This window comes from Homo sapiens, chromosome 10, assembly GCF_000001405.40.
Source record: "Homo sapiens chromosome 10, GRCh38.p14 Primary Assembly".
NCBI lineage: Eukaryota > Metazoa > Chordata > Mammalia > Primates > Hominidae > Homo > Homo sapiens.
In genome coordinates, this window is record NC_000010.11 from 73812455 (window position 1) to 73825745 (window position 13291).

Below are 13291 nucleotides of genomic sequence, written 5' to 3' on the forward strand. Positions count from 1 at the left end.
AAATCTACGCCTCTGGCCGTAAACCTCCAACAGCAGTAACACAATGGACTGTTTAAAGGTTATTTTATTAAATATTTTCAGTTCAAGGTTTCATTGTAACAAAGCTATGAAGGGTCTACCAACATTCAGAACAAACACTATTTTTAAATTATTTCTATGTTGTCATGCAAAAATTCTGCATCAAATGCCTTCCGTTTCTTGTTTAAAAGGTGATTTTTTAATAGTCTATTGTCTATAGATGCTGACATTAGCCCCAGAAGAGGAGTAAGAATGCTAAGAAGTGGGGCTGGAGCAGCCATATGAAGCTATGGGTCTCAATGAATTCTAAGACCATTTGTCTTCAAGCCAGCAAAACGAAACCCTGTGGTGAAGGGATTTGCGTGCTGGCACTGCAGACTGCAGGGCAGGAAAGGGCTAGGGCCCAGGGGCTGGGACATGCATGAGGTGCTCGGAGGAGCCTGGCTAAATCCAAGCACCAGCACCTGTGAGTCTGCTCTCTTCTCAGCTGGCTCCCAAGTAAACCTGTAGCTTTGCCTCTTCTCCCAGCTCTCGTGCCTCCTGAAGGTAGTCCAGGGAACTGGAATCTACCCACCTTTCCCCCAAAAGTGGAGATGTTTGTGCAGATAAATCTGCAGCGTTGTTTTGAGGGAAACCAAGGCCATGACCAATTGCTCCTCCATTATCTTCTTTGCTATCTGCTTAGGGTATAGATCTCTTCCTCCTGGAATGGAACTCCTTGAGCACAGAGAGGGACAATGAAGGTAGAAGCCTTGGCTCTGGACACCTCTTTTGGGTTACATGCGGGGAGGGGTGATGCCCATGCAGATTGTCCAGCAGTAAGTCTATACTTCAGTTGGTCAGTAAAGAGGCCTCTGTAAGGACACCTCTTCTTCTTGCCAGAGCAGTCAGGTCAATCTCAAAGACAGGAAAAGAGATGGACGTGCAGCAAGGAAGAATAAGAAGGGAGGCAGCCCCAAAGGCAGCCTGAATGCATAGAAACGACCACCACCTCTTCTCCCACTGCCTCACTCCTCCCATCCCACAGGGGCACTTGGCAGAGGGCCCAGGCCCAGATGAGGGTCAGCATGGGGACCACTACCGTGAAAAGGCAAGACAAAGATGGTCCAGATCAGCACAGAAACAGAACCGCCAAAGGCGGCACGGGAGCCCTGACCAGGGCCTGGCTCTCTCCTTGCCAGGTTAGAAGAAAACACGAAGCAAAGCAGCAACAACCCCTCCCCCTCCTAGCTGCAGGGATAAGGCCTCAATATTAGGGCCCACATGCATTGTGCATCCTATAGAAATGGATGAGTGAGTGCATGTCAGACTAACACGAGGTTTCTCATCGGCTTCATGGCGGGTACACTTCTGCAGCACCAATTCTCTTCCCTTCTACACTAAACAAGACAGTACAGCAACGTCCGGGCTCTCAGTCCTGAGGCCACCACTTCTCAGCTGCCTCCACAGCAGGCTGGGAGCTCTGCGTTCTCTCCCAAGTAGGTCTGATGGTCACGATGTTCTCATCAGCCCCATTCTAGGCGCCTATGCAAGTTCCAAAGAAGTTCATTCCTAGACCTGGGGTAAGCAGGCCACCTCAGGAGCTGCAATCACATCACGGCCCCCAAAGCTCTGTCAGAGTTCTTGCCTGGTCCCCCTAAGTCCATGGGGACCAGAGAGGCCAAGCTCACCTCTTCAAGGCCGGTGGGTGAGCCACTGCTCATGCCAGGATGGACCTCATACATACTCCTGCCTTCTTGCCAACCCAAGGGCTGTCGGTGGTTTTAAAACGCATCATGGTATGGATTCCTTTTTTTTTTAAACAATCTTTTTTTCTTTTTTTTTTTTCTTAAATGTAAAAAACACCTCGGTACAGCAGAGACAGACACGAAGGGCGGGCGGGAGGGCTGCATGCAGGGGCGTGCATTGGCTGCTGCCGCTTTTGTAATTGAATTGTTTTAAACCTCAAACAAACAGGACTGCCGCTGTCACTCAGGCCCTCCAGAGCCACTGGCTGCGAAGGTTGGACCTCCGGCTGGAATCTCCTAAAGCCCCTGTCAAACAGGACAGAATGTGGTAACAGAACAGAGGACAATGAGCACACAGATGAGTTCCAGCGACTTTAGCACGCTAAACACATGGCCAAGTCGGCCTGAGAAGGTGGGGAAAGTGGGTGAAGCTAATGCTTAAATACAAAACTGCCTCCCATTTGCTAAGCACTAACTAAGTGCTTTACTTATAGTATCTTACTTAATCCTCACAATGATTAAATGAGGTAGGCACCACTCTCTGCCTTTCTTTGACAGCTAAGGAAACAGTTTAGGGAGGGGAAGTAACCTGTCTGAGGTCATCCAATTTGGAGTCACGGAGCCAGACCCTAGTCTGTCTGATTTCCAAGCATAACTTATTGCAACCATTCTGCCAGGCTTTGCCAGTCCTCTGGGACGGCCCACACCTCCTCTCCCAGGACCACCTCCCAGCCTTCTCTTCTTCCTCTGACCCCACCTATCCCAGGCCCTTCCAGCCCCTCTCCCCCGTCAACCAGGTGCACCTGTGGCTGAGCTCACTGCAGCGGTGCGGCAGGGGCCCCTGAGCAGTGATAGTGGACATTGAGCCACTTGCCATCCCGACGGTGCCAGACCCGGGTCTCTTCTGACTGGCTGGTGCGAGGCCGACCCTGCCCGTCGATGTACTGGGTGAGGCGGATGTAGGCGATGCACGCTGCGTCCTCCCCAATCACGTGGACGTGTGGGTTTAGGATGGTGGTATGGATAGGCTTGCTGTTCTTGGACAGGACTGCAGGGCAGGGTGGGGTAGGTAAGAGGACATCAGGCCTGGGCACCTGCATTTTCCTCCCAGCCTGCACTTCCAAGTCTTACCATCTCCCAAGCAACCACTCCCAGAATCTCCAAGTACCGCCCCCCCCCACCCCCGAACCCCTGAACGCCCTCCAGAGGCCAGGATGCCACATTACATTAGTCTCCTTTATCCAAAAGGAACAGAAAGATGGGTAACAGTGACAGTACCTGCTGCGCTTTTAATCAGGCATTGTGCTGGGGTTTTACATGCCCGAGCTGTATTTCTTGGTGGATAATATTTTCTTCATTATAAGATGAGGAAATAGGCTCAAGGAATAATTTGCTCAAATCACACACCTGAACTCAGGACCATGTGACTCTTAACTAAAGCCTATAGATTTTCTATTCTGTTAGGCTGAGTTTAGATTTCATAAGGCTTGGCTCACCCCTAGCTAGGGCTGCAGAACAAAATCATGAACTTAAACCATTCAAAATTGATTTGTAATTTTTTTTAAGGCACCAAAGCTGAAATAGAATCATCAAAGCACCAAGCTCAGGATATTCCCAGGATTCTCTGGGGAAAAGGCAAAAGAAGTTGGATTGCCATTATCAGCATATGCTGTGAAAACTGTGTTGCTTTTATTGAGATTCACATTTTAGTTCAATTCAAATGTTAGACAGGGGCTACATGACACCTTCCTAGTACTAATATAAACTCTGGAATTGCTTCTGGCTAATAGAATTACTTAGATAACAGAGAGTTTATATATGTAGCTGAGATGTGATAAGGGTGGGAGCCAGCGGAGAAGTTAGTGACTAACTATAACTCAGGGCAGGATAGGGAAGGCCCAGCATAAAGTGGGAAGAGATAAAAATAAGGAAGGGGAGGGTCTCATAGAGCAGAGAGAAAGATGGGAGGGGGTGATGATTCAGCTTCTTATCCCCTTATTTTCCATGAACTGTCCAGAATGTACACCCCACCCCCTATACAAGACGTCTGCCTTCCTCCATAGTCAGGAAGATTCTAGCCACAACTTCCGATCTCGCAAATCACCAACAGTGCCCTGGTTTGCACATTCTTATCCTGGTTTTAATTTCCTCTATTGTGAAACCTGCAGACACAGAGCTTAGTTCTTATGTGCTGAGATCATCTCAACCTAATCTCAAAGGGTTTCCTTCCAATCCGTCTTGGAAAGAGGTGAGGCTTAAATAATTTTTTCTTTTTTTTTGAGATGGAGTCTTGCTCTGTTGCCCAGGCTGGAGTGCAGTGGCCTGATCTTGGCTCACTGCAAGCTCTGCCTCCCAGGTTCACATCATTCTCCTGCCTCAGCCACCCGAGTAGCTGGGACTACAGGCACCGCCACCACGCCCGGCTAATTTTTTGTATTTTTAGTAGAGATGGGGTTTCACCGTGTTAGCCAGGATGGCCTCGATCTCCTGACCTCGTGATCCGCCAGCCTCAGCCTCCCAAAGTGTTGGGATTACAGGCGTAAGCCACCGCGCCCGGCAAGAAATAAGTGAGCTTGATTGTGGTGACTGGCACTGCCACAAAGCAGCTGCAGAATGAATGGCACTTGGAGCTCAGGAGCAGGGCCTTCAAAGGTGCCTGTCTACAACCATCGGGGCACAAGGGGACAAGCATACAGAGTAGGAGTGCAGCACGAAGGTCAAATAAGGGAAAAGTGGGCAACTGGGATGAGAAGGTGAGCAGGAGACAGAGACAAAGGGGTAAAGGGGCAGGCAGGAGTATATCAGCAGCACGAACCCACTCACGATTCTCAAAGTAAAACTTATGGAAATCCATCCCCTCCACGAGGTTACCAAGGGCCTCAGGCTCAAAGGAAGTGAGGCCTGGATCACAAATCTTCCTACAGGGAGAAAAAAAAAAGCAGCCTATCAGGCTTCTATGGAGTGACTTGTCTTCCTTCCTTATCAGCGGTGTCTATCCAGTAGCAGCAGGCTACCTGTGGCCATGCCAGACAAGACAGCAAAGATCTTCCAGGCCTGCCTGCTGAGCCACTCAGCCCTGTGCTTTCGGCCCACTGCCAGGATACCATGGGTGAGCTCAGGGAATCTACCTGGAAGGGCTCCCAGTTTAGGAGAGGGCTTAACTCAGATACTTTGCCCAAGGTCCAACCTCCCTTTCCCCAGGGTCCTAATTGTTGTCTGGAAGCAGGGAAGGCCTTGGGAGATGACTTAGGTCACAAAAAAAAATGGGTCTCTACTTACGTGTAGGCCTCAAAGTCCCCATTGTTGATGGCTTCAATCAGCTGTTCTGTAATCTTAATGATCTCCTGTTTTCGCACTGTGGGGGAGAAAAATCCATCAATTTACCTACTGGGGAACCTCCCAAGTTACAGAGAGCCCTCCCCAGTCCTCAGGAGTCCCCTGTGATCGCTTATGACAAAGACATCCCTCTTCTCTGTCTCTAGGGCCCTTGGCAGGAAGAGCGAACACACCTTCCCTCCCGTCTCCCTCTCTGCAGTCTGCAGAGACAATGACCACTTTCTCCTGAAGCCCAGCCATTAGTTATGGTTCTTTGGCCTTTGCCTCCCTTTCCATCAACAACCAGGTTGCAGAAAACACGCTTGCCTTTAACAGGTGAGGAGCCTGGTACATCGTGAATGCTGTGAGCCCCTCCCCTGTATGAGCAGCCTCTCTCACAAGCATCTCCCAATAAGGCCGCTTCCACCCCCAATTTACTTCTCTCACCTGAAGGGGCTCAGTCAGGTCTCAATCACCACCCCCACTCGTAGCCCTCATTCAGTGGCCAGGACCCAGCCCTGGGTGACAGGTAGCCTGACAGCAGAATCCAGCTAGGGCTGGGGTGCCAAAGGACCATCAGAACCCTAGGATGGATGCTTCCCACTGCTCAACTCCACAGGGCTTTTCTGGGAGAAATGATCCCAGAACTGTAAAAACTTGGGACAGCCTGTACCAGAGAGGCTGCTCCATTTACCTCTCGAGGCTTGGGAAAGCTGCACATTTCACACCAGCTCTCATTGCCAGGACGTGTTCCTCAGGAAAACCAGACAGGGCTCAGACTGACAGGCAGGCAGAGGTGGTGCCCTCCAGAGGCCTCCTCCCCAACCCATCCAAAGCCAAGGGACAGCTGGTGATGTCCTGCCGGCATGGGCTTCTCTTATAGGGAATGCCACTACCAGCAGGGGCTGCCACCAGGGTAAGGGAGAGCTTGGGTTGAGCTTGGGCTCATCCTAACCCGAGCCCTGGGCGGGGCCAGGCCACAACCCTTTCCTCACAGGAGCAAAAGGCTGCAAGACAACTGCAAGCGTTAGAACAGCACCACCACGGCCCAGCCGGGCCAGCACAGCCAAGCAGCACAGTTGGGACAGGGCAGCGCAGCCAAAGGCACATCCAGGAGGGGGCCCCACAGCCGTCAGCCCCGCTAGGCCACAGCTCCAGGTGAGCAAGCAGCAGGTTAAGGGAAGCAAGGAGTTCGATCGGCTTCCAAAAGCAGCAGGCAGGTGTGCACCCACAACACACACACCCTCTCCAACCCCACCAGACCCATCTGGATGACCTGACTGGGGCCCCACGGGCGAAGAGGGTTGTGCTTAGAAACTCTGCAAGGATAGATGGTGGGAGGAAAAGCAGCAGACAAAGGCATCCTCCAGCACAGACGTAACTAGAAATATGAGGATGAGCTACTGATAACCCATCGAGGCACCGTATCAAGACTTCCTACTGCCTTGTCTTTTATCTAACAAGGCTCTGAGGTGCGTGCCATTTTATTTCCACATTACAGATAAGGAACCTGCAGCTCTGGGAGGTTAAACTTCACACTCTTGAAGGCAGTGTAGCTGGGATTTAAACTCAGATCTATCTTGCCTCTGACCCCATGCTCTTAATACTGTTATGCTGAGACTCAGGAAGCACTACATCCCCAACACAGTTCCTCGCTGTCACGATTTCCCCATCATCCCACTCCCACCCCCACAGACCTGACTTCCGACTCTGCCCTTCTTCCTGGCTCAGCGCTGAGGCAAGGCCCACTGCACATCCTGGGGGCTTTCTACTCCCCTCATCCCAGGCCATGTTTTTCCACCCACACTTCTCATATTTCTTTGGGCCCCAGACTCAGGGGCCCCTGCCTGGTCTCAACAGCACCTCCAGTCTACCCCCCACCCCCAGCAGAGGCCATGCTCCCAGAGCTTACTACCACGGGCAGGTGGGTGGGACTGACAGCTGTGGTGGGGGTCCCTGAGGGGCTTCAGGACGAGCCAGGGAGACGGAAGCCAGAATGTGCCTCCCTCACACTTACTGGCTGAGGAGCAGAGAGAAGGCTGGGGCTGCATGCCTGCAGAGGGGGCTGTTCTGTCCCGGGAGCTCCGTCCTTCAGGCACCGAGCTGCCATTCCCAGTGCGGAGCGGGGCAGCTAGCCAGCCAGGGCAGGGCAGGGCAGGGCAAGGCAGAGCAGCCAAAACAAACAGAACAAGGCAGGTGAGCGAGCAAGCCAGACAGGCCCCGAGCCCATGGCGCTGCAGAGCCGGGGCAAGGGGACGCCTCGCCTCAGGCTGCTGTGGACACTGGACGACATCCCACGCCGCCGCCTCTGCCAGAGAGGCCTCCCAGCTGAGGGCACCAGGCAGGTGCCCAGACCTGGGCTGTGGCTTCCAGACGAGCCTTACAACAGCCTGTCCAAGGACCCCTGATCCCGGGGAAGATGTTCCAGGGGGCCAGGCCACAGGGTCCAGAGCCCAGCAGTGACAGCGCCTCCTATGTTGCCAGCAGTGCCGGAATCAAAACTGATCTGACCTCACTCACAGGGGCCTGGAGCTACTATGATTCACTTCCTCGCAGCTTTCTGCTATTTTTTTTGGTTCCAAAAGGTTTGGTGCCCCCTTGCCACCCAGGGCATGCTCTCCCAGCTCTGTCCTAGAGTGTTCCTCTGTCTTTTCTGATGTCCTGGCCCAAGGTCACTTACTGAATTCAGGCAAAGGGAGCAATTCCAGGAGGCCCAATCAAAGAGCAGGACAGAGATTCCCGGGGGTCCAGCCTGCCATGCCCTCCCACCGCCCTGGCACTCTAGCCAGGCCCAAGCTTAGGCTAGTGGTCCTTACGGGCCCACCAGGACATGACCAAATGTGGCCTCACGGTTGTCAGATTAGTTCCAACTCCATCATTCAGGCCAAAATCTTAGGACTAGAGTGACCAACTCATCCCAGTGTTCCCAGGACTATCTGGGTTTTATATTTATATATATATATATATATATATATATATTTTTTTTTTTTTTTTTTTCTTGAGACAGAGTCTCGCTCTGTCACCCAGGCTGGAGTGCAGTGGTGCAATCTCAGCTCACTGCAACCTCCACCTCCCGGGTTCAAGCCATTTTCATGCCTCAGTCTCCCGAGTAGCTGGGATTACAGGACCCCGCCACCACACCCGGCTAATTTTTTTTTTTTTTTTTTTTTTTTTTGAGAAGAAGTTTCGCTCTTGTTGCCCAGGCTGGAGTGCAATGGGGTGATCTCGGCTCACTGCAACCTCCACCTCCCAGGTTCAAGCGATTCTCCCACCTCCGCCTCCCGAGTAGCTACGATTACAGGCACCTGCCACCACACCTGGCTAATTTTTTATATTTTTAGTAGAGATGGAGTTTCACCATGTTGGCCAGGCTGGTCTTGAACTTCTGACCTTCAGGTGATCCACCCACCTTGGCCTCCCAAAGTGTTGGGATTACAGGCGTGAGCCACTACGCCCGGCCTTTTTTTGTATTTTTAGTAGAGACGGGGTTTCATCATGTTGGCCAGGCTGGTTTTGAACTCCTGACCTCAAGTGATCCACTTGCCTCGGCCTCCCAAAGTGTGGGGATTACAGGTGTGAGTCACCGCACCTGGCCTATTTATTTGTTCCTAATTTTTTTTTTTTAATAGAGACAAGGTCTTGCTATGTTGCCCAAGCTTGTCTCAAACTCCTGGTCTCAAGCAATCCTTCTGCCCTGGCCCTCCCAAAGTTCTGGGTATTACAGGTGTGAGCCAGCACTCCTGGCCCATCACAGTCTTAAAACCAAAAGTTCTGTGTCCGAGGAAAACCAGGAGTGATTGGTCACTCTATTTATGACTCATAGCACTTACAGGCTACTTCGGCAGGGACTTGGGGTACCCCTGTTCTTGGATGGCACATCATTATCAGCAACAGGAACAGTTCTCTGAGCCCTGGCCCCTGGAGAATCTCTAGCTTAGCTATTTTAGACTTGGGGTCAAAGAAGAGAAGCCTCTTGCCCAACTCAGCAACACCAGACAGGGGCCTCATATCTTGGCTCGTGGAAAGTAGCTTTTATACCAAGCCCTCTCCTAGGGGCATAGGAGCCAGCATTCCCAGTTCTGGGGACAGAAAAGGCAGGTGCCCCATTGGAGCCCAGGTACCTGGGTCACTGCTGGAGTCCTTCCCCCTCCAAGGGCCAGCACCTACCTTTGAGGTCCTCATCTTCTGTGGTGGTGTTGCAGCTCTCTGTGGAGCCCTGTAGGCCAAAAAGAACATGTTTCTATATGCTCCATCCCTTGGAAGCCAGAGGAGCAAAGCAGAACAAAAGCAGAGTTTCTGCTCCTACAAGAGGTGCAAGGAGGAATTGTGGAAGGTTCTGCTTCCACCCTGGCTGTCTGACTCTTCCCAAATCCCCTCCCTAGTCTTCCCCCAGTTGGTAAATGCCACCATCTACCCAGTTACTCAGGCTAAAACCTGGAGTCATCCTCAATCCTTCTCTTTCTCTTTTTCCCTTATATTCAGATCGCCCAATCTAAAATAAAATCTTCTGGTTCTGCCTCCAAAGTAAACCCCATGTCTTACCTCTTCACTTCCAATGCACAGCTACAACCTGACTCCAGGCCACCAGCATCTCACACCTGAACCATGATAACAGCTTCATGGTCTCCCTAACTTCCACACTTACCTCCTCCCTAGAGTTTTTCTTTTTTGAAACAGAGTTTTGCTCTTGTTGCACAGGCTGGAGTGCAATGGCATGATCTCGGCTCACTGCAACCTCTGCCTCCCGGGTTCAAGTGATTCTCCTGTCTCAGCCTCCTGAGTAGCTGGGATTACAGGTGCCTGCCACCATGCCTGGCTAATTTTTGTATTTTTATTAGAGATGGGGTTTCATCATGTTGGCCAGGCTGGTCTCGAGCTCCTGACCTTTGCTGATCCACTCGCCTCGGCCTTCCAAAGTGCAGGGATTACGGGCGTGAGCCACCACGCCCGGGCCTCCCTAGAGTTCTTGATCATGAGGCCAGAGTGGTGTTTTAAAGTGTCAACTAGATTCTGTTACTCCTGCTAAGAACTCCCAATAGCTTCTCCTTGCTGCTGGAAGAAAATGCAAACTCCTACAAGGGCCTCTGTAGCAGGCCCTGCTGCTTCTCCAACCTCATCACTCTCCTATGGTTCTCCCCGTCTCACTTTGCTCTTCCCTCTGCTTGATTACAAAGGCCACATCTGAGCTTCAGTTCCTTCTGCTTAGGGCACTCAGCCTCAGAGCTGGCCTGGCTGCCTCCTTCCCACCCACCATTCAGTTTCTAGCTCAGATATCACCTCCTGAAAGAAGCCCTCTCCTGACTACTTAATTCAAGGCCCTGTTCTCTCTGTCTAGTTTGGTGAGGTTTTTCTGTTTTTCATTTTTTAGATGGAGTCTTGCTCTGTCGCCCAGGCTGAAGTGCAGTGGCACGATTTCAGCTCACTGCAACCTCCGCCTCCCAGGTTCAAGCGATTCTCCTGCCTCAGCCTCCCAGGTAGCTGGGATTACAGGCATGTGCCACCATCCCCAGGTAATTTCTGTATCTTTAGTAGAGATGGGGTTTTGCCATGTTGGCCAGGCTGGTTTTGAACTCCTGACCTCAAGTGATCCGCCCGCCTTGGCCTCCCAAAGTGCTAGGATTACAGGCATGAGCCACCGCACCTGGCCCTCTCTCTACTTTCTGCCATTTTCTTCAGATTACCTATTGACATTAGATTTTATCTTATTTATTTTTTTTGAGAGATTAAGTCTCACTGCGTAGCCCAAGCTGGAGTGCAGTGGCGTGATCTCAGCTCACTGCAACCTCCACCTCCCAGGCTCAAGCAATTATCGTGCCTCAGCCTCCCAAGTAGCTGGGACTACAGGCACGCGCCACCACACCTGCCTACTTTTTTGTATTTTAGTAGAGACAGGGTTTCACCATGTTGCCCAAGGTGGTCTCTAACTCCTGAGCTCAGGCGATCTGCGCACCTTGGCCTCCCAAAGTGTGAGGATTACAGGTGTGAGCCACGGTGCCCAGCTTATCTTATCTGTTTGCTTATTGGTTTTTTATCTGCCTCCCATCCCACCCACCGTTTGAACAGATAATTTGTCTTGTCACCTCTGTAAGCCAGAGCCATGGATGGTATCTGGGCTTAACAGATGTTCAGGAATGCTGGTGAAAACATCAAGGGCACAAAGGGGTCAGGCCATGGAGAACGCTCCAGGGTCTGGAGATACTCTTGCCTATTTTTTCAGTGAACGTTTACTCTCATTTAAACTTCCGACATATGGAGGAAGATTCTATTATTATCATCCCCAATTTGCAGATAAAGGATACTAAGGTGCAGGGCCAGGATTCAGACCAGGTCTGTCTGACTGCAAAGCCTGAGCTCTGTAAGGTATAATGCCCTTCCTCAGCATGGAGCAACTGTGGGCACAGGCTACCTTCAGCTGAGCCTCTGCAAACACCTTGGCCTCAGGGTGCAGCCTGTAGACCCCTGGGACCCAGCCCACCTGTCTCCTGCTGACCTGGAAAGCAGGAGGCAGGCTCAGGAGCCACTCACCTTGATCCCATCTGTAGCGTTGTGTACCACAGTGGTTTGTGGCTCCTGTGAGAGAAGATGAAGATTACCCTTCCGACTTGGGGACAGACTATGGCTCTTCCCTGAGGAGCCCCACCTGCACCCCAGGACCCCCGCAGACCCTATGATGACCACTGAGGCCTGCCCACCAGCCATCTCCAGAAGACAAAATATCCCGGCTCAACTGGGGTCCCGGGCAGCTGGGATAGCCCTGGATTTTGGCAGCAGCACTGGGCTGGTAAGAAAGAGAGGCCTGGCAGGTGCAGGTGCCCAGGAGGCTGACAGCAAGGGCCTCTGTCCCTGATTCCTGTCAGTTCTGAGGGCTCTTTCCACATGGGGTTCCCACGGGGCAGGTACACTAGAGGAGCTGTGGGACTGAGGGCACAGGCCGGGCCCCGCCCACAGCGTTCATCACGGGGAATGTGTGAGGCAGGAACATGGGCAGAAGAATGAGGTCTCCCAGAAAGAGCCAGGACAGGAGGCCCCCTCAGCAAGCTGAGCCCAGAGAGCTGCCCACTGCGCCCGCCTTCTGCCTTCCCTAGTTCCTGGCCCCACGCCGCCACGTCATGTGGTATGAGGGTCCGCAAGGAGGGGAGTAGCAGGCAACATCACCTCTCCCTCTTTCCCAGTCACCCCCCTGCTGACTCTCTAGTTAGCCACCACTAGCAGAGGGACCTCCAAGAGCACACAGAACCCCTGGAGGAGCCCAGAGAGAACTTAGCCAGCATGAGGCACTCCAGGAGCCTGGAGACCTCAGCACCATCCAGAGGTGGGGACCCCAGCCCTCTTTCCTGTTTCTGGCTTTGCAAAGGAGAGGCTGAGGCAGGTTTTACAAGGGGGCCTCCAAGAACTGATGTTCAGGTCCCAAGAAAGCTCCTACCCTCTCCTTTCCTAAGCAACTCACCTTCCCAGCCCCCACAGCAGACCCACTAGGGGTCCTGGGCTGGGCCTGGGAGGTTCAGCTGAGAGCCCTGATCACTCTTCCCCCCACCAGCGAAAGGAGCAGGAGCAGGAGCAGCACTTCTGCCATGCGGGATGGAGCGCGGCCAGGCGGGACAATGAAGGGGAAGGGGCATACAGGGCGGCACACAAAGCAGTCAGTTCTATGGGGACCAAGAAAGGAACAGGCCAGGAGGCCAGGGAGGGGGCACAAGAGGAGGAAGAGGGAAGGGGCAGGAGGCAGCCAGGGTCAGAGGCGGAGAAGCTGTAGTCAGGAGGTACCATGGCCGTCTGCAAGGGCGCGGGCTCTTGGGCTGGGCTTACGAGACTGTTTTTGTTGTTGCTCTGTGGCTGAGACAAGAAAACAGATGGTTTAGTTCCTCCAGAGTCCCCAAGGCCACTCAGGTTCAACTCCCAGACCTCCCTTGCCCCCTGGTCTGGCCTGGAGGAGGTAGGCCTGAGGTGGCCTCCATAACGCTGTGTAGATGGGAGCGATGGCTAGAGAGATGATCAGAGGAAGTATTTGTGGGGCCCAGAGACCTAGCTCTGGGGGCACCCTCAAGGTGGGACCAGCCCAAAGCCTTGTTTTAAAGCATCCCTCCAGAAATCTCTGCTTATGCCAGGTGCCAGGTCATTGCAAAATCCACACCTGACCCAAAGAAGTTCAAGATCTTCTTCCCACTGTACAGGAAAAAGGGGGGTAGTTTATAAGAAAGCAGAACAAAATTCAGAAACTCTGGTCCCCTATC

The 13291-nt window shown here is 52.5% G+C and overlaps 1 protein-coding gene across 78 annotated transcripts in view, besides 3 other annotated features; it reads right to left on the reverse strand.

Moving 5' to 3' along the window:
* Window positions 47-13291, reverse strand: part of CAMK2G (calcium/calmodulin dependent protein kinase II gamma) — a 62055-nt gene continuing 48810 nt past the window's right edge. For 11 of the 78 annotated variants that reach the window (NM_001367525.1, XM_047425799.1, XM_047425797.1 and 8 more), the window contains 8 exons: window positions 12825-12893; window positions 11586-11630; window positions 9228-9276; window positions 7078-7191; window positions 5025-5100; window positions 4569-4663; window positions 2549-2793; window positions 47-2051 (listed from right to left, as the gene is read on the reverse strand). In NM_001367525.1, the coding sequence (NP_001354454.1) occupies window positions 2561-2793; window positions 4569-4663; window positions 5025-5100; window positions 7078-7191; window positions 9228-9276; window positions 11586-11630; window positions 12825-12893 (681 nt within the window). In that variant the 3' untranslated portion in view covers window positions 47-2051; window positions 2549-2560. Of the gene's footprint in view, window positions 2052-2548; window positions 2794-3412; window positions 4664-5024; window positions 5101-5754; window positions 6442-7077; window positions 7192-9227; window positions 9277-11585; window positions 11631-12824; window positions 12894-13291 lie in introns of those variants that run through there. The other 67 variants (NR_160044.1, NR_160046.1, NM_001367532.1 and 64 more) reach the window with 25 other exon arrangements.
* Window positions 2237-2490: a silencer, noted in NCBI's record as "fragment chr10:75574449-75574702 (GRCh37/hg19 assembly coordinates)". NCBI's record gives its function as "represses an EF-1alpha promoter that drives an FKBP-Casp9 reporter gene in an ReSE screen in HepG2 liver carcinoma cells {active_cell/tissue: HepG2}" and the evidence as "EXISTENCE:reporter gene assay evidence [ECO:0000049][PMID:32094911]".
* Window positions 6890-7390: an enhancer, noted in NCBI's record as "H3K4me1 hESC enhancer chr10:75579102-75579602 (GRCh37/hg19 assembly coordinates)". NCBI's record gives its function as "activates a minimal SCP1, AML or CMV promoter by ChIP-STARR-seq in naive H9 embryonic stem cells {active_cell/tissue: H9 hESC(naive)}" and the evidence as "EXISTENCE:reporter gene assay evidence [ECO:0000049][PMID:30033119]".
* Window positions 7391-7891: an enhancer, noted in NCBI's record as "H3K4me1 hESC enhancer chr10:75579603-75580103 (GRCh37/hg19 assembly coordinates)". NCBI's record gives its function as "activates a minimal SCP1, AML or CMV promoter by ChIP-STARR-seq in naive H9 embryonic stem cells {active_cell/tissue: H9 hESC(naive)}" and the evidence as "EXISTENCE:reporter gene assay evidence [ECO:0000049][PMID:30033119]".